General features: G+C 38.5%; 1 protein-coding gene and 1 pseudogene across 5 annotated transcripts in view, besides 1 other annotated feature; both read left to right on the top strand.

The window, feature by feature from the left end:
• Window positions 1-25,398, top strand: part of WDPCP (WD repeat containing planar cell polarity effector) — a 721,268-nt gene that overhangs the window by 176,404 nt on the left and 519,466 nt on the right. For 4 of the 5 annotated variants that reach the window (XM_047444629.1, XM_047444631.1, XM_047444627.1 and 1 more), the window contains one exon: window positions 13,585-13,764. The exons of the other annotated variant lie outside the window; for it this stretch is intronic. The gene's annotated coding sequence lies outside the window, so the exon portion shown is untranslated. The remainder of the gene's footprint in view (window positions 1-13,584; window positions 13,765-25,398) is intronic. 5 annotated transcript variants of the gene reach the window in all.
• Window positions 8,102-8,302: a silencer, noted in NCBI's record as "peak3729 fragment used in MPRA reporter construct". NCBI's record gives its function as "represses an SCP1 promoter by STARR-seq MPRAs in K562 erythroleukemia cells {active_cell/tissue: K562}" and the evidence as "EXISTENCE:reporter gene assay evidence [ECO:0000049][PMID:32103011]".
• On the top strand, window positions 20,355-21,231 carry RPS4XP5 (ribosomal protein S4X pseudogene 5; annotated as a pseudogene).

Raw genomic sequence — 25,398 nt, 5'->3', positions numbered from 1 at the left:
TAGTGCCCAATCCCACATATTGGCAGTGTTGATGGTACCAGCTGCAGAGACAGAGCCCAGTCCTGCAATGTGATTTGAGAATTGTTTCTTGTCATATAGTCTCTAATCTTGGTTCTCTATCTTCCTGGACATTCTTCCAGCCACCCATTTTCACTAGTAAATTATTTTCCTACTTAAACTAACCAGGATTGGTTTCTATTGTTTGAAACCAAGAACTTTGATGGTCACAACTTTGGTTTTAATGACCACTCACGTACTGATGATGCCTAAACTGAGATTGTCAGCTTCTACTTCCCACTTGGAATTCCATCTGAGCCTCTCTATCTGCATGTTCTAAAAATGATATTGAGACAAACATGTGCCTAACCAAATGTAATGATTTAATTATCTCAAACTTCCCTAAACTGTATTTTCTCAATTTAATGAAATTGCTAGATGCTCAAATGCCCTTCAGTACTGCTTGGGTTAAAGGTGCGGTGGTTGTTGATATATGAGGGAAAATGCCCTCTTGACTTCTCAAACTGTGATGTCTGTTTCTATTAAAAACATGAAAAAAAATCCACAAATGCATGATGTGAACATCAATTATCAAATTTAAAAATTCCCATTCTAGTTCTTCCATGATAGCATGATCGAGTATTTTTATCTAAATATGAAAGTGCAACATTACAACATCCAATTAATCTATAACCTCCATCCAAATGTTTTAGTCACACAACACTCAGCTTAGAAACTGAATTCACCATGAACTCTGCCCTCTTTCTCAAACTGTATTCAGTCACCAACTTTTATAAATCACACCTACAAAATCTTAAATCCTCCATGTCCTTTCTCCATTTCTATAGCCAGAGTTCAAATGATCATATCTCATCTATAATCTGCAATTGCCACTTTACAGGAGTTTCCATCTCTGCTTCCTCTCTCTCTACTCAGACTGAGTCAGGCTGGGAGCCAACCCACGCCAGCATTCATGATTGCTTTCCTCTCTGATGTTTCCTTCCAGTTATCTGTATCTAGTCCTAAGATAGAGAAGGAGTACATTATGCAACTGGTTTTATAAAGTTCCAAGTATGTGCTTCAAGTGTGAACCAGAGATATTGAAGAAGTTGGCCTCTTTGTTCTCCAGTTCCCTTATAATAAAATTTCCCAAAATAATAGTCGTCCTGCATTGTAGCTGCCAACAGTAGCAGAGGGCAAGGGGCAGGGTACAGGGAAGCTACCAATTAGTAGTTAAAATGGTTAGCTGTCCAAACACAAGATACTCTCCAGAATCTCTAATCTACAGAAATTATATTTATGAAAGAAGCCCAAAAAAGCAGCCAACAGATTGTTGTGTTGTAAGGCAGGAAATGACCAAATGGAAGCAGGTATGACATAACATGGCTAGGGCTGTTCACCTTGAGGTACCTCATGGCTGGTGAGCTTTTTGTCTCTCAACAACAGTGGCATGGGCATCTGTGGGAGAAGGTTTAAAAGTAAAGAGCACTGTTTTCAGACTCATGAAAGAAGATAACCTTTACTGACTACCTACTGTTGGGATGCAATTCTCCATGAATATTTTCACATTTCTGCACTGTTTGGGCTTTCTGAACAAAGAACACTGGCAAACTCGGTTAAAGAATGATTGAATGGCAAACACACCTAGGAAATTAGAGATATAGTACTGTTCTGGAGAGATTTAGAGGCTTATCTTTCCTGGAGCCACCTACCCCTCTCTCCAGGAGACATTTGCTTAAATTCCAGAGCAAAGATAAGCTCTCTCTCTCTCTCTCTCTCTCTCTCTGGAAGAGATGATGGGCAGATAATCAGCAGCCCATATAAAGCTCCAAGTCTCATGACTTTGGTATTCCTCTCCTGTGCTGCAACCCTGGCTCTTATCATGGGCTTAACATGGTAGGCTCTTCCCATGTTGCTCTGTAGGGCTTGGGGAACCAGTGCTAAGATACTGTGTGAATAATGAATGGTATGTTCTCTGATCCAGAAATCTCGTGTTTTCTGTCATAAATATGAATTTATGTGTGTGTATGCATACATACATATACATATATACACAAACAGACCATGTGGTAAACGTAGCACTATCTAATTTAATCCTCAAAAAACCCTGCAAGTGGTATAAACTATTATCACCATTTACAGATGAGGAAACCAAAGTTCAGAGAGGTAGCTGTTTGCCTAAGGTCAATCTGATAGGTGGCAGAGCTATGTTTCAAATCCAGCTATTTACCACCAAAGTACGTGCTGTTTATACTCTAATAATTTGTACTCTGTACTGGCTTGTTGTGGCACATAGGGCAAGTCATTTGACCTCTTTGTGCCTCATTTTCCCTGTATTTAACATGAAAAGATTAGATTATGTGACCACCATGATCCATTCCAATTTCATCATTTTAAGATTTTATGCTTCCCCTCTTACCTTGTCTCTAAGTTCTCCCTAAAGGCAATTTCTCTCTTGCCAGCTGTTCTATTATGGATCCCTATGCACAACATATATACCTTCGCCTTCACATCTTTGTCCCAGTGATTTTTGCCACCTGGAAGCTCCCCTTACTGACTTCCATTCATCAAGGTCCTGTTCATCAATCAAGGAACAGGAATCATTAAGATAGCCTTGGTGATGGCTCTCCCCACAGCACCCACTGTCTGCAATATTCAATTACCCTGTATTGTATTTAGCATCTATTATGTCAGCTACTATTTTGTTTGTTTCGTAGATAACTTCAAAACACAATGTCAGTGTATAGCTATTTATCTCCATAGATTGACAACCGAACATTGTAACAGAAATTGTGTGTGTATTTAAGATGATTCAAGCAATACATGTCATGAATGATACTTAAATATCCTTTTGTTTTGTTCAAGCAGCAATAATTACAGCAAGTATGTTCATTCTATCATTATTTTGACAAGCATGTATTAAGTCCCACTTTTTGCCATGCATTGTACTAGGTGATAAGAACATTGTCATGAAAAATAGATGTGGTCCTAGCCTTCAAAAAGTTTACAGTCTAATGAGTAGGATATGGAGGACAGACATTAACTGAATACTCACTAAGGAAACAGCATGTGGCAAGAACCCAACAGCTTATAAGGAATTGAAGCCTCAATTCTGTAGTCTGAGAGGAAGTGAATACTACCAACAACTATTTGAGTAGGCTTAGAAGTAAATCCTCCCTAGTTGAGTCTTTAAATGAGATGTTCCCAGATGACACTTTCATTGCAGCCTTGTGAGAGATCCTAAAGCAAAAGACCCAGCTAAGCTGTACTCACAGAACCCATAAAAACTGTGAGATAATAATTGTGTGTTGTTTTAAGCCAGTAAATTTTGGGGAGATTTGTTGCATAGCAATAGATAACTCATACATTCACACAAATGAACTACAGATGATGTTAAGTAAGTGCTATGAAACAAAAGTCAAGAATGGAATGAGAGATTATAACAGGATTTCCTAATTTAAATTTAGGTTTAGATCTCCACTAAATGGAGTTAAATTTTATCAAATAATGTCATTAAATGGTCATGTTTAGTGATAAGGAAAAAATATTTGCAATAATAATTTATACTTTAATTCTTATATGAAGAGTTCTCACTAAACTCCACTACTAAATCTTTTTGAAAATAATACTGTGTTACTAAAATGTTATTCAAAATTAACCATACTTCTGTGTCCCTGAAATTTTCATTATCTGATAATACAAACATGTTACTTAAACACAGAAATCAAAAATAGTTTAGAATTTGATATCTCATTTTGGGACTATTCAAGGAGCTGTAGTTTTTTTATATTTCAACTTTTATTTTAGATACAGGGGGGTACATGCATAGGTTTGTGACATTGAGCTTTAGTTTTGAGGTAATAGAATAACAATATAGAGCAGAGGAGATAAATTGGACTGGGAGGCAGGAAGCCTGTTGGAATGGACACTTGTTTTCATCTGCCTATAGCCCATCCCTTTCTTACATCCATGTTCTTAGTAAAACTACTCTTCTCCTACTCTCTGTAATTTTGCTGCAACTACCAATTGCAATTCAAGCAAGCCTTATCAGAGTTCTTCCCTGGAATTCTTTGCCTTGAAACTGGGAAAGGAATTTTTTCTTTCTCTTTGATTTGTGAATTTTAAGGGTGGAGCTTAGATTTACCAGTGTGGAGGTAGGGGCATCCCAGGGACTTTGACCTTGAGTCCCAACTTAGAAATTGATCTAGGACTTGTAGTCCTGGTAAATTAATTAATAATGAATTTTTTTAAAAAAAGAAAAAAGTAAACAAATCAACTCCAAAATATCTAAGTTACAGCTTATCATTATATTGCCAAAGATAAAAGGCTACATTTACCTTTGGGAATCAGAACTCTTGGTTTTGTGAAAAATACTTTAGTGGATCTTTGGCTGTGAAAAAATAATCTAAAAAGAGATAAGGGTAAATATAATATACAGCATATTATTTAAAAGCCAAATTGTGGCCAGAGTTGTATCTTTGCAAAGATTATTAAAATGATTGGATTATTAAAACGAAAAGTTTTCTGTGTTCTTCAGAGTAAAAGAGAAGTTGGGATCCTAGACCATGAGAGAGCAAGCTGGTCCTACAACCTTGCCACAGACCAGGGGCTAAGGATGGAGGTGGCCATTAGAGGATACTCTGTGGAAGCTCACGGGCTCATATATAGTTGTATCTACTGTATTAGTTCCTCTAGGGCTACTCTAACAAATTGCCACACACTAGGTGACTTAAAACAACAGAAATGCATTCTCTCACAATATAGAGGCCAGAAGTCCAAAATCAAGGTGTCCTCCCTCCCAAGGCTCTAGAGGAGAATCCATAGCTTGCTTCTTCCAGCTTCTAGTGTGTATAGGCCTTTTTTGGTTTGTAGCTGCAATACTCTAACCTCTGCCTTCCTGGTCACATTGCCTCCTCCTCTTGTTTGTGTGTCTGTCTCCTGTGCTTTTTTGATATAATATCCCTCTCTTTTATAAGGATACACGCAATTGCCCACCTGGATAATCCAGGATAAGCTTCTCCTTTTAAGATGCTTAACTTAATATCACATCTATAAAGTCCTCTTTTCCGAATAAGGTAACATCACAAGTTTCAGGGATTAGGATGTGTCATTTAGGGGACCACTGTGCAGCTCACGATATCTAGTTTTAATGTTTTTCTCTCGACCATTATTATAAATTCTTTCTGATATCCTGAAACTTCCAGTTAAACGTGGTTAGACCTAGTCTTATTTTGACAGAAGAGCTCACTTAACTCTTTTAGCTCATTTCTGGCCACAATTTAGCTTTTAAATAATATGCTGTATGCTATATTTACCCCATCTCTTGTTAGATTTACTTTTTCACAGCCAAAGATCCACTAAAGTATTATTTACAAAACAAGAGTTCTGGTTTCCAAAGGTGAATATAGCCTTTTATCTCCAGCAATATGATGACAACTATAGCTCAGATATTTTGGAGTTGATTTGTTTACTTTTTTGTTTTGTTTTTGTTTTAAATCAAGACGACGAAAGTCCTAGATCAATTTCTAAGTTAGGATTCAAGGTCAAGTTAGTGAGAGGAGAACTGAGGAAACAAAAGCAGTGGACCAGAGCCTGTCGGCCAGCTGAGATGATCAACAAAAAGTGGCTCATACTTGTGGAACATGTCAGCATTTCTCAGGGATTCCCAGAAACACTTGGATCCAGCAACCCAATAAATCACAGGACTTCCTGCCATTACACAGGTTGGGGGTGCAAACTATTGTTATTTGAGCATTAAAGGCCAGGGTAGCTCCTGACCTTGGGAATTGCTAAGTTACATGTTTTCCTAAATTTTTCATAATGTTTTGATTTTCTGATAAATAAGAATAAATATAAATTTTGGGGTCCTGTTTGATTGAAATACCACACTCAGTGCTTTTTTGAGTGGTTTCTTCTTTGGTATTCTCTGCTGTTTGTCCTATACAGCTATTTTTACTAACTACTGATCTTTCTGCATAGTTGGTACATAGGTCTGATTACCCCATCACAGAAATGGAGAGGAAAAGTACCTGGCTGACAAACAGCTGACACATCCCCATAAGGACTTTCTGAAGCTATTTTACTCTGTCTTTTTCCAGGGATGCATTTTGACATTAGACAGAGATTATCCAGGGCAGAGATTATCTGGACCTTGTGTACTCTCCTTGCACTGTTTCAGGGTATATATGAAGCAACTCTATTCAAGCCATATAAAACACACATTGGAACTTTTCTTAAAACCAAGAATCAGAATCAAAGGTATAATGTGAAGCAAGATTACGGCAATGGAGTTGTAGAACACTACTCAGACCCATAGAGAACAATGGGATGTTCATAAAGGGTGAACCTTCAGTTTTTTGAAGCTAAAAAAAATGCCATTAAAAAAATTATAGATTGTCCTTTATCTTCTAGAAGGAAACTAGAATTTGTCTTGGGGGAAAACCAGTTAGGAAGGCAACTTTGATGGAACCTTTTAAATTAAGCAGATATAAAGCAAGGTTTGTGCTCCACAAACCTAGAGATGCCTGGGTGTTGTAGGTGGTGAGGGGTGGACAGGTCCCTGCCAAGCAGAGGCCAGCTGGACAGGGAACCAGACTGAGGGACTCTACTGTAAGGATGGGCCTGTGGGTTCTGAGAGTAGCTACCTTCACAATACTTTTATAACTTTTTTCTATTTACAAACAATGGGAAATAGACTCAGTGTTTTTGCACTGAATGTTTTCAGGAACAAATTAATGACAGTAAGTGGGAAATGCCAGTATATCTCAAATCCGCCCGCTTACCACCACCTGCACCACCTACATTCTAGTCTGTCATCATTTCTTGCCTAGATGATTGCAGTTGCCTTTAAATATTCCTCTTCCCCAGTCTATTCTCCACAGAACAACCAGAGTGACTTTTTAAAAATATCACTCAGAGGCCGGGCGCCGCGGTGACTCACGCATGTAATCTCAGCACTTTGGGAGGCCGAGGCGGGCAGATCACGAGGTCAGAAGATCGAGACCATCCGGGCTAACACGGTGAAACCCCGTCTCTACTAAAAAATACAAAAAAATTAGCCGGGCTTGGTGGCGGGTGCCTGTAGTCCCAGCTACTCAGGAGGCTGAGGCAGGAGAATGGCATGAACCCAGGAGGCGGAGCTTGCAGTGAGTCGAGATCGGGCCGCTGCACTCCAGCCTGGGTGACAGAGCGAGACTCCGTCGCAAAAAAAAAAAAAAAAACATCACCCAGAACCTGTCTCATCTGTACGCAAAACCCTCCCCAATAATTCACAGCCATAATTATAATAAAGTAGCCCTTACCATGGCTTGAAAGCCTCACACAACCTGGCCCTTACCACCCTCCCCAGCTTCAGCTCTTAGCACTCTGTCACTAACTCCACTCCAGCCATCCAGGCCTTCCAGCTTTTCCTTTACTTTGTGAAGCATGCTTCAACCTCAGGTCTTTGGCACTTACTTGGAATTCCCTTCCCTAGATAGTCTCATGGTTATTTCCCCCACTTTGTTCATTTCACCAAATGCCATCTTCTTGTAAAAGGCTCTCCTGACTACTCTTGTCTTAAAAGGCAGACACCTTTCATTCCTCAGCCCCCTTGCTCTTCTTCACTTTTCCTTCATTGAACTTTACTACCTTGATAGCCTTTGTTTATTATTTTATTGTCTGTCCCTACGTTGAATGTAAGTTCATGAGGACAGTCACAGTCTTGTTTCATTTATTGCTCTGTCTTCAGCACCTTGAATAGTGCTTGGCACATAGTAGGTACTCAGGACATTGTTTTTGATGCTGTTTTAGTTGCTCAAGTCGGCTTTTAATCTTGACTTTGTCTTCTCAGTCTCCATTCTATACATGGCTCCTGAGTAATTTCTGACTAGCTGCTCTTAGCTCTTGAAATATATCCCAATGTTTGTGTGTCTCCTTGGCTTTGGCCCATTTCTGGCTTCCAGTCAGTTTCCATGGCCCTCTCAGCCCGCCTGTAGCCCAGGTATTTGGCCTTGGCACTTCCCAATGCTAATGCCAGCCATTCTCCATGAATCTCAAGAATCGTGAATTTCTGTGACTTCCAAGCCACCAACCCAGTCTGCATCTGGGGCCAACCAAGCCTGACCCACTGTAGGGCTCTAGGTCTGAGGCAGGGAGGCAATCAGGGTATGGCCTCACTCTTCACTGGAATTGGGGAAGTAGACAGGTTGTTGCAGCAAGATCTTAAGATACTGATACCCAATGGTCAAAAGTGCTACTTGGGATCTTCCTGTTTTCCCAGAACTGGCAACTGGAACTCACAGTTGAGAACAAAAGGCACCAAGTACCTGCATTCTAAGTTCAGAGAAATAGGAGCTGTGATGTCAGCCAATTCCCCACAGGGCTTGCAAAGAGGTTCTTTTCAGCAGAACCAGCACAATAATCCCCCGTCCTTCATCAGATTAATTTATATTAAAGGGTAGGAAATCCTATTTCTGAGAATACATCCTACAGAGTCATTTGCACCATGTGATTTGATGTATATACAAGGTTACACATTGCAGTTCATAAGGAACTGGGGAAATAAATGATATGATGCATACATACAATGGAATACTGTACAACTGTAAGGAAAGAATGAGAAAGTTCTTCATGTATTAATGGGGAAATATCTTCAAGATATATTGTTAAACTTTAAAAAAGGTTTAGAACAGCATATATAGTATTACACCTTTTGTGTAAAAAGGTAGTAAACAAGGACATATATAGATTTTGCTTCTATGTGCATCAAGAACCTCTGGAAGGATGCACAAAAGCTAATAATAGTGATCACCTAAGAGTGAGGTGTGTGAACAGACAGAGGACAGAAGTAGTTTCTCTTTTGAATCATGTGAATGTATTAAAATATAAAAATTAACCCCTCTTAAAAATGAAAAATAAGAAAATTATCATGTACTGAGATGGAAAGATCTCTAAGACATAAGATTAAGCAAAAAAAATTATAGAAGAGTGTATAGCAAGGTGTTATTTAAATATATATATATATACGTGTGTATATATATACACATATGTAGCATGTATATATGTGTTTGTAATACTAGAATTTCTGTGGCAGAAGACACTGGTAATAGGCTTTCCACTGGAAAAGTAAACCAGATGGCTGGAGAAAGGGAAGGGGGTAATACGAAGAGAGAGCAATGCTCACCAAGTTCTCATTTGGTGAAAAGCCAAAATGTGTGAAAATGTGAGTTATGAGTCACACTTTCTCTGGGTTATGAGCCACACTTTCTTTGTGTCTCCCATTTGCTTTTTAACATTTCCTGGCCCCTTTGCAATTGGGCAGACCCACATGCATGGTTTTGGCCAATGAAGCATGAGTACAAATGACATGAGCCATTTCTGAGCTGAGATGGTGAAAGTCTGTGAGTGATTCTCTAGTCTCTCATCTCTGGCTTGGTCTGGTTACTAGAATGGGGCTGAATATTCTGTGGGAGATGAGTGGGCTCAGGCATGAGGAGCTGAGAGCAAAGGCAAAGCTTAATCCCAGTACAGTCAGTCCCCCATATCTGTGGTTCCACATTCACAGATTCAACCAACCATAGATTCAAAATATTTGAAAATTAAAAAAAAATAAAAATATACAAAATTTAAGACCAATACAGTATAACAATTATTTGCATGGCATTTACCTTGTACTAGGTATTATCGGTAATCCAGAGATGATTTAAAGTATGTAGGGGACGGTGCATAAGTTATATGTAAGTATTACACCATTTTATATAAGGGCCTCAACTATCCATGGATTCTGCTATCCCTGGGGGGTCCTGGAACCAATCTCCCACAGACACTGAGGGACAACTGTGCATATGTGGCTAAAGAACATGTTCCTTATTGTGGAAAGTTTGTCCTTTCACATCAAGCTTTTCCTCTGAAAGGAGAAGACAAGAGAGTGAGGAAGGAAGAAGGCATCCAAATATTCAGCAACATGAGAAAAATCCATCCTCTGATCAGTGGACATCTCAGCCTGATTGTCCACATTTTCATCTTCCAATTAGTGACAAATGCCTTGCCCATCTAGACCTACGGTCATTTTTTAAGTGGACAGAAATAATTTTAACTATTTTAGCCCCAAGAACCTCTATTCTGCCACTGCTTGTACCATAATGTTACAATCTTTTTCTCTCTGTGCCTCGTTTTAGATTATTTTTATTGTCTTCTCTTTAGCTTCATGGTTTATTCTTTTGCAATATCTAACCTGCTATTTAATTCTGTCCAGTAAAATTTTTACTTCAGATATTTTATTTTTCATCTCTAAAAATTTATTTTGTTTTTTACCCCAAGGTTTCTGTGTCTTCCATTTATCTCTTTATTGTGCTCATATATTCTTTAAAATCCTTGAGCTTATTTATATTATTTCTGATAAGTCTTTTAAAGTTCTTGTCTAACTAATTTCATCATCTGTCATTTCTGGGTCTGTTTCTATCAACTGATTTTTCTCTGGGTTATGAGCCACACTTTCTTGTGTCTTTGCATGTCTAGTAATTTTTTTTTTTTTTTTGAGATGGAGTCTTGCTCTGTTGCACAGGCTGGAGTGCAGTGGCACGATCTCAACTCACTGCAACCTTTGTCTCCTGGCTTCAGGTGATTCTCGTGCCTCAGCCTCCCGAGTAACTGGGATTATAGGCACCGCCATTACACCTGGCTAATTTTTGTATTTTTAGTAGAGACGGGGTTTCGCCCTGTTGGCCCGGCTGGTCACGAACTCCTGACTTCAAGTGATCCACCTACCTCAGCTTCCCAAAGTGCTGGGATTACAGGCATGAGCCAACGTGTGTGGCCTCTAGTAATTTTTATTGGATATTGGACTTAAATTTTACATTGCTGAGTGCTGGATATTTTTGTATTCCTTTAAAGATTATCTTTACACTAGCAGAAAGTTATTTTCAGATTAGCTTAATCTTTTCCAGACTTGCTTTTAAGGATTTTTGTCAGGGAGTTTATCTGGAGTAGCCTTACTCTAGGTCTAGTTTAGTCTCCCTATTAAAGTAAGTTTGACCTATCTGGGGTGTCTACCGAATTCTCCATGTATTCAGCAAAGTCTCTTCACTCTAGTTGGTGGGAACCTGATTCAGTCCCAATCCTGTGCAAGCTTTGAGTTATTTGGCTTCCAGTGTCCCAATAATTACTCTTTCCCAGCTCTTTGTTCCACCTCATAAAGTTTCCTCCTTTACATGCACAAATTGATAGTCAAAGTCTGAAAAGGACCTCTATATAGATTTCTGGATCCTTTTTCACTGTAAAGCTCCCTTCTGTCCACTATTTATGATCTCTGTCTCTACTCAGCAAGACCACCAGGCTCTGTTTGGGTTCCCTCTTCCTGAGCTACTGCCAGGAAATTGCTTCCAGGAAGAAAGCCAGAGCAATTGAAGGATTCATCTTATTTATTCCTTTCTCTTGAACATCATAGTACTGCACTGCCTATTATCCAATATCTGAGAATGGTTGTTTCTTTTTTGTCTCGTTATCTAGGTTTTTTACCGGTAGTTGGGGAAGAGTGCAGACTTCTAGTAGTTACCCCTTAAGGGCCACAGTCTTACTTTAAACTCCCTTATCTGGGATTGCATCCATCCATATGCTCTACATTTTTGCTGAGAACAAATAGGATAAAGATCAATGGCCCACACTGAGTTGGACTTAAGTTTTCCAACCAGGTACTAAGAGCAGTTTAACTTGTAGTAAATTTGGCACATTTTATCTTCAGAGCCAACTGCATTTCATTTCTGAATCCTTTTATCCTCAGGTTCCTGCATTTCTATCAAATCTTTCCTCAGAAAGCCTAAAACATTTTAGAAGTGATCAAGCCTTAGCAGAAGAAAATGAAGCTCCAGTGCTGATAAATTGCAGCAGATGGTAGAGACTTTGTGGCAGGCGAGGAAGCCATCTGGTGGGATCCTTCCACACAGTTGCCTACTTGTAGACCCAGTGACAGTCCTGATTTCAAGCAAGTGAATTCTTTCCTTCTCTTCTCAAATAAAAACACACCTTTGCTTGCGTTGAGATCTGCTTCAGCTGAGGGCTTTCCTGTTTCTCAGTAATAAGTTCAAGTACTTGAATTTTACAAAAGTTTGTGAATTGCATAAGTGTTGTGACCCACCTTCACCCAGAGGTTGTGCCAACCAAGTTGCTGGAAGCCATACACAAGCCTCCAAAGTTAACTGGACATTGTGTCTGTGTCTGTGTCTGTGTGGGTGGCCAGGGAGCTTATACTGGGCTAATGTTCTGTTCTTGCTAGAGCTTCACAGAAGCCTTCTGCAAATGCATCATGCCAGTGTCCATGTGTGGAACCATCAGGGCCACTTGCATCTTTCAATATTGCATTATCTGAACAAATGGCCCTTCAGAATTGCAGCATTTAACTCACTGATTAAACCAGACTGTGGGTTTAAATTAATCTTTTTCTCCATATGGAGCCACGGCTTAAATTAGGCTGTTTATATCCTTGAGGAAAGTTATTATAGCTCCAGGAACACACGGCCAGATAAGAAGCATGCAAAAATCATCCTGATATAAGTCATGTGCTTATTGAAATTGTATTCATTCTTCAAGGTTAAGCTCAGATACCACTTTTTATGAGAAGTTGTGATGGGTAGTTTTACATGTCAACTGAGTTAGGTTATAGTACTGAGTTATTAGATCAAACATTAATGTAGATGTTGCTGTGAAGGTATTTTGTAGATGTGGTGAACATCTACGATCAGCTGACTTTAAGTAATGATTACCCTCAGTAAGGCCGGTAGACCTCATCAAATCAGTTGAAGGCCTTAAGAGCAAAAACTGAGGTTTACCCAAGAAGAAATTCCATCTCAAACCTGCAACATTAACTCCTCCAGAGTTTCCAGCCTGCCTGCCTGCCTACCCAATGGATTTCAGACTTGCCAGCCCCCACATTGCACATTGTATGAGCCAATTTCTTATTTCTTAAAATAAGTCTCTCTGTGTGTGTGTGTGTGTGTTGTACACACATATAAAATAGATTTTGTTTCTCTGGAAAACCCTAATTGAAACGGAAGCCTTTTCTGACATCTCTAGACCAGAGTGACTTCCCCTTCCTCTGACTTAGCACTTAACTGTACACTACCTTTATTTTTATAATTTCATGTCTTCTATCCCCACATATTTTTGGTATGTATTTATAATATACCCATACTTGTTAAAGGACAGACTAAACTGCTATAATTAAGAAATTCAAAAGTATAGTGGCTTTTAAAAAAATAGAATTTTCCTCTCTAAACATTCCAGAGGATGAGCAGTCCAGGCTGACAGGGTGGCTCTGCTCTACACGGTCGGAAAGCAACCTAGGAACCATATTGTTGTTCTATCATCTCCAAGGGTGTTGTCTTTATTTATAAATGTCTTTATTGATAATGGTCTCAAGTTTGTCTCTTTGTATTCGAGGGAGACAAATTTCCAAAGCCCTGTACATCCAAGTCCACTGGGCTACTGCCAGTTCCCCACACTCCATCTTTCAGCCTTCTTGGCAAGGCATCTGGCAAAGTATTTTAAAAGTACTTATGTTGTTTTACCTCTTACTAACAATACTACAATTGTAATCATGTCTTTCCACCACAGACTTTGCCAACCCCAATGCATTGCACCTCTCATTGCATGTGAATGATGGCTCCTGTTCTATTCTCTCACCTTCCAACACCATGAAGTCCATGCCAGCTGGTCAGTTGCTAAGAAAACTACCTATGGTTACCAAGAAGGACCTCCAGGAAACTTCAGATTGCCCAAGGATCACTATAAGAAGTAAGAGCATCAATTCAGGATCCTTTTCACTTCACTTATCTTCCTCCAATTTTTACTCACAGCTTCCTGAGTCATACTAAGAACATATTTTTTCTTCTTTATCCCAGTTATCTCCCTAAAAGAAACTTAAGTAGGGTGAACATATGGATCATATAAGACAAGTAAAGAAGCCATGGGAAACTCCAGTACTAAAGTCACTGGGCGGGGCAAGTCCTGAAGGAATGATAGTGGGGACCACCTCCCTTCAAAATGTTTTTCAGTGGGATAAAGTCATTCACTAAAGCAGAAGTTCTCAAAGTATGTGTGGTCCCTGGACCAGCAGCATAAGCATCATTGGGGAACTTGCTAGAAATACCAATTCTCAGGCCCCAACAGTGTCCTGAGTTTGAGTCATAAACTCAGGGAGTGGGGTCCAGCAATCTGTGTTTTAATAAGTCCTCCAGGTGACTGACTCAAGCTAAAGTTTGAAAACTACTGTACTGAACAAATCTTGGGAAACTTCATGTCATTCCATCTTGAGCAAAGGTCTTGGACGTAACATCCAAGCTGGTTATTCCATTATCTCATTCCAGACCCAGAGAAGAAGGCACAGCCTCTGCTGGATTCTTGGCTGTACACACCACTGTCTCAGGGGATCTCTCTGTAACACATCAACTGGTCTTCTCCTCTTATTGCCTTTGCTTCTCATTCCTGACCCCAGAGGTTGTCTGTCAGACTTGGTTTAAGCCTCTCTGGCCAAATACTGTATCTGTTGCTTTATCTGGTCTGTCTCTTTGGTTTCTGAACAAACCTTTCCCTTGGATCCTATATCTGTTTCCCTTTTGCTCCAAGTCCTGTAGCCATTGATCATTTCTGCTCTACTCCAGACCCCTCCCCACAAGCCCCCCTTTCTGGGAAAAGGAGTCAGAGTACCAAATTAAATTTTTCCATTAAAAAAGCAAAACAAGTTAATAGGCTGGCTGAGCAGGGGAATGATATTTGATGAATGATGAAATTTAAGAAGGACAAATATTAGGTATTTCTATGGAAAACAGTTATTCAGTTCCTTAGAAAATTAAGCAGAGTTATCTTATGACCTAATAATTTTACCATAGCTGTATATACCCAAGGTGTTTGAAAACATATTCCCACAAAATCTTGTACACAAATGTGTTTATAGCATCACTATTCACAATAACCAACAGGTGGGAAAAAATCTAAGTGACTATCAACTAATGAATGGATAAACAAAATGTGGCAAATACATACAATGAAATATTATTCAGTCATAAAAGAAGTCCAGTTGTTACATGTTACCACATAAGTGAACCTTGGAAACATGCTAAGTGAAAGAAACCAGACACAAAAGACCACATGTTGTATGATTCCATTTAAATGAAATGTCCATGAAATGAAATGTCCAGAATAGACAAATAGACACAGAAAGTAGTTTAGGGATCTACTTTCCCCATCCACCAAGGGATGGGGAAGGGGAGAATAGGGACTAGCTGCTAATAGGTATGGGGTTTCTTTCTGGGGTGATGGGAATGTTCTAGAAGTAGGTAGTGATGATAGTTGCTCACCATAGTCAATATACTAAAGTGTACATACAAAATGGTGAATATGTTATATGAAGTATATATCTCAATTTTTAAATGCTATCAAAGAAAAAAAAGTTGTGTTAAGTATTGTACTTGGGCCCAAAACATCATATGAGTCCTAGCAATTGGTAAACAGCAATCCATGTGAAAATGATATGGGATTTTTAGTTAACTGGAGCCTAAACGAGGTAATTTTGCAATCTAACTGCTGAGAACACTAAGTTGATCTTTGATTGGAATTGGCAGTGTTCCACTTAAGGAAGAAGGTAGTCATTCTTTCTGCTGTGTTCACCAGAGTGGACCATTTCTAAGGTCTTGGATTCAGTTATGGGCATTTAAGAATGTTGCCAAAATTCAGCAGTAAAAAGAGATTAACTACTTATTCGTGCAACAAAATGGATGAATCTCAAAAGAATTATACTAATGAAAAAAGCCAGACACAAAAGTCTATACATTTTTTGGTTTCCATTTATATGACATTCTGAAAAAGACAAAACTATAGGTACCCAAATCATATCAGGGGTTGCAGGTTGTCAGAGGATGGAATTGACTGACTAGGGGCACCGTATTTTGGGATGATGTAAATACCTTGATTGTGGTGGTAATAATTACACAACTATACATTTCCCAACTCATTGAATGACATACACTTTAAAAGGATTAATTTTATTGTATATAAATAATACTTCAAAAAAAGAATACTGATGAATTTTAAAGTGACCAACGAGTCCAGATTTGGCCAGTATTTTCATTTTAGCACATGAAAGTCCCACATCCCTGGGACACCCCTAAGCCTCAGATAAATTGGAGTTAGAGTGGCTAGATAGTGAGGAGTTTGAAACCATGAGAAAAACTTAGGGGGATAAGAGTAAAGATTTGTCACATGCCTGACAGATTGGCCCACAGGGAAGCCCTAGATCATACAGAGAGGCAGATTTTGGCTCAAAAACCAAAGAATGTTCTATGATACTCTCCTATAGGCAGACGGGCTGTCTTAACCAGAAGAGTGTTCCTTTTCCTAAAAATATTCAAGGAGCTATCCGGGGCACCTGTAAGGGAGGTTTTTGGAAGGAATTCATGCATCAGTAAGAAGTTGGGTTACATCATTCATTCTCAAATGGTAGTATGCAGAGCTAAGGAAGTTGTTAGAGATATAGATTCTTGAGCCCCATTTCTGGAGTTCCTGATTGGTCAGGTTTCAGATGGGGCCCAAGAACCAAGTTTTTTTTAATTAAACTTTTTATTTTGAGATAATTATAAATTCACATGCAGTTGTAAAAAAAAAATGATAATACAGAGAGGGTCTTGTATCCTTTACCCAGTTTTACCCAGTGGTTACATCTTGCAAAAATATAGTACAATATCAAAACCAGGATATTGACATTTATACAGACAAAATAAAAAAAGGTTTCCATCACCTGAAGTTGTCCTTTTATAGGCAGTCACTTTCCTTTCACTCTCACCCACTCTGGAAACCACTAGCTTGTACTCCATGTCTATAATTTCATCACTTTATGAATGTTATATAAATGGAATCATACAGTATATAACCTTTGGGGATTGGCTTTTTTTTCACTCAGCATAATTCTCTGGAAATTCATCCAGGTTGCTGTATACATCAAGACAGGCTATTTGAAAATGCATAGGCCGGGTGTGGTGGCTCACGCCTGTAATCTCAGCACTTTGGGAGGCCGAGGCAGGTGGATCATGAGGTCAGGAGTTCAAGACCAACCTGGCCAAATGATGAACCCCATCTCTACTAAAAATACAAAAATTAGCTGGGCGTGGTGGCGGGCACCTGTAATCCCAGCTACTCAGGAGGCTGAGGCCAGAGAATCGTTTGAACCCAGAAGGCAGAGGTTGCAGTGAGCCAAGACTGCACCATTGCACTCCAGCCTGGGAGACAGGGTGAGACTCCATCTCAAAAACACAACAACAACAACAAAATGCATGATCAGAGGAGACAAAAGGAAAAAAGAAGAAAAAACAATGAAGCACACCTACAGGATATAGAAAATAGTCTCAAAAGGGCAAATCTAAGAATTAATGGCCTTAAAGAGGGTGTAGAGGAAGAGATAGGAGTAGAAAGTTTATTCAAAGGTATAATAAGAGAAGTTCCCAAACCTAGAGAAAGATCTCAATATCCAAGTACAAGAAGATTATAGAACACCAAGCAGATTTAACCCAAAGAAGACTACCTCAAGACATTTAAAAATCAAACTCCCAAAGATCAAGAATAAAGAAAGGATCCTAAAAGCAGCAAAAGAGAAGAAACAAATAAGATGCAATGGAGCTCCAATATGTCTGGAAGCAGACTTTTCAGTGGAAACTTTACAGGCAGGAGAGAGAGGAGTGATATATTTAAAATGCTGAAGGAAAAACAAAGTTTTACTTTAGAATAGTATATCTGGTGAAAACATCCTTCAAACATGAAGGAGAAATTAAAAACTTTACCAAGCGAACAAAAGCTGAGGGATTTCATTAACACCAGACCTGTCCTACAAGAAATGCTAATGGAAGGACTTAAATCAGAAAGAAAAAAAAAATGTGAACAAGCAGTATGTAATCACCTCAAGGTACAAACTTGCTGGTAATAGTAAGTACACAGAAAAACACAGAATATTATAATAATGTAACTATGGTGTGTAAACTACTCTTAAGTTAAAACATTAAATGATAAATCAATAAAAAATTGTAACTATGACAACTTAGACATAGAGAGTACAGTAAGATACAAATGGAAACAACAAAAAGTTGAAAAGCATGGGAGGAAGGGTGAAGTTAAGGCATAGAAATTTTATTAGTTTTCTTTTTGCTTGTTTGTTTATGCAGAGTTGTTATCAGCTTAAAATAATAAATTATAAGATAGTATTTGCAAACTTCATGGTAACCTCCAACCAAAAACCATACAATGAATACACAAAATATAAAAAGCAAGAAACTAGATCATATCATTAGAGAAAATTACCTTCACTAAAGGGAAGACAGGAAGGGAAGAAAGAAGGAAGAGAAAACCGCTAAACAACTGGAAAACAAATAACAAAATGGTAGGAGTAAGTTCTTATCAGTAATAACAATGAATGTAAATGAACTAAACTCTCCAATCAAAAGACATAGAGTGGCTGAATGGGTGAAAAACAAGAACCAGTGATCCCTTGCCTACAAGAAACACACTTCACCTATAAAGACACACATAGACTGAATGTAAAGGGATGGAAAATGATAGTCCATGCTAACGGAAACCAAAAAAGAGCAGGAGTAGCTATACTTATATCAGACAAAATAGATTTTAAGAGAAAAACTGTAAGAAGAGACAAAGGTCACTAAATAATGATAAAGGAGTTAATTCAGCAAGAGAATATAACAATTGTAAATATATATGTGCCCAACACTGGAGCACCCAGATATATAAAGCAAATATTATTAGAGCTAAAGAGAGAGATAGACTCCAATATAATAATAGCTGGAGACTTCAACTCTCCACTTTCAACATTGGACAGATCTTCCAGACAGAAAAATAAATAAATTACACCAGACTTAATCTGCACTATAAACCAAATGGACCAAATAGACACTTTCAGAACATTTCATCCAATGGCTGCAGAATACACATTCTTTTTCTCAGCACTTGGATCATTCTCAAGGGTAAACCATATGTTAGATCATAAAACAAGCCTTAAAACATGCAAAAAAAATTGAAATACTATCCAGCATCTTCTCTGATCACAATGGAGTACAACTAAAAGCTAATAACAAGAGGAATTTTGGAAACTATGCAAATATATGGAAATTAAATAATATGCTCCTGAGTGATGAGCGTGTGAATAAAGAAATTAGGAAGAAAATAAAGCATTTCTTGAGACAAGTTATAATGGCAACACAACATACCAAAACCTTTGTGGTACAGCAAAAGCATTACTAAGAGGGAAATTTATAGCTGTAAGTGATTACATCAAAAAGAAAAAAAGCTTCAGGTAGACGACCTAACAATGCATCTTAAATAACTAGAAAAGCAAGAGCAAAGCAAGCTCAAAATTGGTAGAAGAAAAGAAAAAATAAAGATAAGGGCAGAAATAAGTGAAATTGAAATGAAGAAAATAACACAAATGATTAATGGAAGGAAAAGTTGGTTTCTTGAAAAGATAAACAAAATGGATAAACCTTTAGCCAACTAAGAAAAAAAGAGAGGAGATCCAAATAATCAAAACAGAGATGAAAAAGGACACATTACAGCTGATACTGCAGAAACTCGAAAAATCATTAGTAGCTATATGAGCAACTATATGCCAATAAATTGGAAAATCTAGAAGAAATGGACAAATTTCTAGATGCATACCACATACCAAGATTGAACCATGAAAAAATCCAAAACCCAAACAGACCAATAACAGGTGACAAGATTGAAGTCATAATAAAAAGTGTCACAGTAAAGAAAAGCCCAGGACCCAATGGCTCCAATGCTGAATTCTACCAAACATTTCATGAAAAACGAATACCAATCCTCCTAAAACTATCCTAAAAAATAGAGGAGAAGGGAGGCCGGGCACGGTGGCTCACGCCTGTAATCCCAGCACTTTGGGAGGCCGAGGTGGGTGGATCACGAGGTCAGGAGTTCAAGACCAGCCTGGCCAACATGGTGAAACCCTGTCTCTACTAAGAATACAAAAATTAGCTGGGCATGGTGGCAGGTGCCTGTAATCCCAGCTACTCGGGAACCTGAGGCAGAGAATTGCTTGAACCCAGGAGGCGGAGGTTGCAATGAGCTGAGATTGCGCCACTGCATTCCAGCCTGGGTGACAGAGCAAGACTCTGTCTCAAAAAAAAAAAAAAAAAAAGTAGAGGAGAAAGAAATACTTGCACATTCATTCTGTGAGGCCAGTATTACCGTGATACCAAAACCAGACAAAGATACATCAAAAAATAAAACTATAGGCCAATATCCCTGATGAACATTGATGCAAAAATTCTCAACAAAATACTAACAAACCAGATTAAAAAGATCATTCATCACTCTTTCTATGCCTAGCACAACCATGGCTTTGGTCCTAAGAAGCATCTGAAGTGAGTACCAGCTCCAAAGCATTGGATGCTGGATAAATTGATTGGTGTGTTTACTCCTCATCCATCCACTGGTTCCCACAAGTTGAGAAAGTACCTCCCTGTCATCATTTTCCTAAGGAACAGACTTAAGTATGCCTTGACAGGAGATGAAGTAAAGAAGATTTGCATGCAGTGGTTTATTAAGATCAATGGAAAGGTCCAAACTGATGTAACCTACCCTGCTTGGATTCATGGATGTCATCAGCATTGACAAGACTGGAGAGAATGTCCGTCTGATCTATGACACCAAGGGTCACTCTGCTGTTCATCATATTACATCTGAGGAGGCTAAGTACAAGTTGTGCAAAGTGAGAAAAATCTTTGTGGGTACAAAAGGAATTCCTCATCTGGTGATTCATGATGTTCACACTATCCACTACCCTGATCCCCTCATCAAGGTGAGTAACAGATTCAGATTGGTTTGGAGACTGGCAAGATTACTGATTTTATCAAGTTCAACATTGGTAACCTGTGTATGGTGACTGAGGGGTGCTAACCTGGGAAGGATAACCAGGGAGAGACATCCTGGATCTTTTCATGTGGTTCATGTGAAAGATGCCAGTGGCAACAGATTTGTCACCCACCTTTCCAACATTTTTGTTATTGGCAAGAGCAACAAACCATGAACTTCTCCTCCCTGAGGAAAGGGTATCTGCCTCACCATTGCTGAAGAGAGAGACGAGAGACTGGCAGCCAAACAGAGAAGTGGGTGAAATGGTCTCTAGAGACATGTTAGAAAGCTTTTTGTACTTAATTAAAGATAATATAGCATGAAGAAAAGATCATTCATCATGACCAAGTTGGATTTATCCCAGGAATGCAAGGATTGTTGAACATACACAAGTCTATGAATATGATACATCATACCAACAGAATGAAAGCCTAAAACCATATGATCATTTCAACAGATGCCAAAAAAAGCATTTGATAAAATTCAACATCCCTTCATGATAAAAGAAAAACCTCAAAAAACTGAGTATAGAAGGAACATAACCTCAACATAATAGAAGCCATATATAACAGACCCACAGCTAGTATCATACTAAATGGGGAAAAACTGAAAGCCTTTTCTCTCAGATCTGCAACACAACAAGGATGCCCACTTTTGTCACTGTTATTAAACATATTACTGGAAGTCCTAGCTACAGCAATCAGAGAAGAGAAGGAAATAAAGGGTCTCCAAAATGGAAAGGAAGAAGTAAAATTATCATTGTTTGAAGATGATATGATCCTATATTTGGAAAAACCTAAAGACTCCACACACACACAGACATATGCACACAAAAACTGTTACAAGATAAACAAACTCAGTAAAGTTGAAGGATACAAAAATCAACATACAAAAATCAGTAGCATTACTGTATGTTAACAGCAAGCAATCTGAAAAAGAAATCAAAATACTAATCCCATTTACAATAGCCACAAATAAAATAAAATCCCTAGGAATTTTCCAAAGAAGTGAAAGATCTCTATAATGAAAATTCTAAAATAGTGATGACACCAAAAAAAAAAAAAGAAAGAAAAGATACTTCATGTTCATGGATTGGAAGAATCAGTATTGTTAAATGTCCATACTACCCAAAGCAATCTACAAATTCAATGCAATCCTTATCAAAATGCTAATGGCATTCTTCGCAAAAACAGAAACAACAATTCTAAAATGTATATAAACCACAAAAACCCACACTAATCAAATCTATCCCAAGCAAAAATAACAAAACTGGAGGAATTACGTTACCCAACTTCAAATTATACCACATCAAGATAGGGTAAGAAAAAAAATTATACTACAGCGCTATAGTAAACAAAACAGCACGGGACTGGCATAAAAACAGACATATAAACCAGTGGAACAGAATAGAGAGTCCAGAAACAAATCCCCATATGAACTCATTTTCAACAAAGGTGCCAAGAACATATATTGGGAAAAAGTCTCTTCAATAAATGGTGCTGGGAAAAATGCATATTCATATGCAGAAGAAAGAAACTAGACCTCTATCTCTCACCATAAACAAAAATCAAATAAAAGTGGATTAAAGACTTAAATCTAAGATCTGAAACTATGAATCTACTAAAAAAATATTGGGGAAAGTCTCCACGACATTGGTGTAGGCAAAAATTTCTTGAGTAATACCCCACAAGCACAGGCAACCAAAGCAAAAATGGACAAATGGGATCACATGAAGTTAAAAAGACTTTGCACAGAAATGGAAACAATCAATAAAGTGAAGAGACAACTACTAGAATGGGAGAAAATATTTGCAAGCTGCCCATCTGACAAGGGATTAATAACCAGAATAAGTAAGGAGCTCAAACAACTCTATAGGGAAAAATCTAGTAATCCAATCCAAAAAATGGGCAAAAGATGTGCAGAGACATTTCTCAAAAGAAGACATGCAAACAACAAACAGGCATATGAAAAAGTGCCCAATATCACTGATCATCAGCAAAATGCAAAACAAAACTACAGTGAGATATCATCTCACCCCAGTTAAAATGGTTTATATCCAAAAGACAGGCAATAAGAAATGCTGGCAAGGATGTGGAGAAAAGGGAATCCTCATACACTGTTGATGAAAATGAAATTAGTACAACTACTATGGAGAACAGTTTGGAGGTTCCTCAAACATCTAAATATAGAGCTGGGTATATACTCAAAAGAAAGGAAATCAGCATATTGAAGAGATATCTGCACTCTCATGTTTATTGTAGCACTGTTCACAATAGCCAAGATTTGGAAGCAACCCGAGTGTCCCTCAACAGATGAATGGATAAATAAAATGTGGTACATATACACAATGGAGTACTATTTAGCTATAAAAAGAATGAAATCCTGTCATTTGGAACAACATGGATGGAACCAAAGATCATTATGTTAAGTGAAAAAAGGCAGGCACAGAAAGACAACCATCCCATGTTCTCATTTATTTGTGGGATCTAAAAATCAAATCAACTGAATTCATGGAGATAGAGTAGAAAGATGTTTACTAGGGACTGGGAAGGTTAGTAGGAGGTTAGGAGGAAGATGGGGATGGTTAACGGGTACAAAAAATAGTTCGAAAGCATGAATAAGACCTAGCATTTGATTGCACAGCAGGGTGACTATAGTCGATAATAATTTAATTGTACATTTAAAAATAACTAAAAAAGTATAATTGGATTTTTTGTAACACAAAAAATGAATGCTTGAGGGGATGGATACCCTACTCTCCATGATGTGATTATTACGCATTGCATTCCTGTATCAAAACATCTCATATTCCTGATAAATATATACACTTACTATGTACCCACAAAAATACAAACAAAATATTTTATTTCTTTTTATTGTCAAGTAGTATTCCATGGCATGGATGTGCCACAATATGTTAAACCAATTATTCACCTGGTGAAGGACATCTAAGTTTGTTCAAGTTTTGGACCATTATAAAGAAAACTATATAAACACTCATTTGCAGGGTTTTGTTTGGTTTTGTTTTGTGTTTTTCAGAGAGTCTCACTCTTTTGCCCAGGGTGGAGTGCAGTGATGTGATCACAGCTCACTGCTGCCTCAACCTGCCAGGCTTAAGCAATCCTCCTGCCACTGCCACCTGAATAGCTGGGACTACAGGGGAACACTGCTACATGCAGCTAATTTTTCATGTGCAGGTTTGTATATTAACATTACATCTGGCCGGGCATGGTGGCTCACACCTGTAATCCCAGCACTTTGGGAGGCCGAAGTGGGAGGATCACAAGGTCAGGAGATCGACACCATCCTGGCTAACACGGTGAAACCCCGTCTCTACTAAAAATACAAAAAATTAGCTGGGCGTCGTGGCGGGCGCCTGTAGTCCCAGCTACTCGGGAGGCTGAGGCAGGAGAATGGCGTGAACCTGGGAGGCGGAGCGTGCAGTGAGCAGAGATCGCGCCACTGCACTCCAGCCTGGGAGACAGCGAGACTCCGTCTCAGAAAAAAACAAACAAACAAACAAACAAAAACAACATTAAATCTTGATCTCTCTGGAATAAGCGCCCAAGAATGCAACTTCAGGGTGATATGGAGGTTGCATGTTTAATTTTTCAATAAACTGCAGTATTGTTTCCATAATGTTTTCCATAATGACTGTACCGTTTTACTTTCCTACCAGCAATGTGTGAGTGATCTAGTTTCTCCACATTTTTGACAGCATCTGGTTTTGTCACTATTTTTTATTTAAGCCATTTTGTTACGTTTGTAGTAATAACTCATCATGGTTTTAATTTGTATCTCTAATGGCTAATGATGTTAAATACCTTTATATGTTCTTGACACCTGCATATCTTCTGCTATGATTTAAATGTTTTTGTCCTGTGAAACTCATGTTGAAATTTAATCCCCAATGTAACAGTATTAAGAAGTGAGGACTTGCCATGGATTAGTGGGTTACCATGGTAGTGGGTTAGTTAACATAAGAATGGGTCTGTTATAAAAGCCAGTTTGACTCTCAGTGTGCCCCTCTCACCTTGATCTTAGACTCCTCAACCTCTAGAACTATAAGAAATAAACTTCTAGGCCAGGTTAGGTTGCGCACACCTGTAATCCCAGCACTTTGGGAGGCTGAGGCAGGAGAGTTGCTTGAGGCCAGGAGTTTGATAGATCAGCCTGGGCAACACAGTAGACCCTGTCTCCACAAAATTATTTTTTAAATTAGCCAAGCATGATGGCGCATGTTTGTAATCTTAGCTACTTGAAAGGCTGAAGCAGGAGGATCTCTTTTTTTTGAGATGGAGTCTCACTCTGTCACCCAGGCTGGAGTGCAGTGGTGCAACTTGGCTCACTGTAACCTCCGCCTCCTAGGTTCACTCCACTGCACTCCAACCTGGGCAACAGAGGATTTTGAATTATGAATTCAGTTTACTTAGTAGCTATACAATGTTTCAAATTCTCTATTTCATATTGGATGAATTGTGTTTTTTAAGAAATTGATTCATT

The sequence above is a fragment of the Homo sapiens genome, chromosome 2, assembly GCF_000001405.40.
Source record: "Homo sapiens chromosome 2, GRCh38.p14 Primary Assembly".
Classification (NCBI taxonomy): Eukaryota; Metazoa; Chordata; class Mammalia; order Primates; family Hominidae; genus Homo; species Homo sapiens.
Note: the sequence above shows the minus strand (reverse complement) of the source record. Positions and strands in the feature narration are given on the sequence as shown.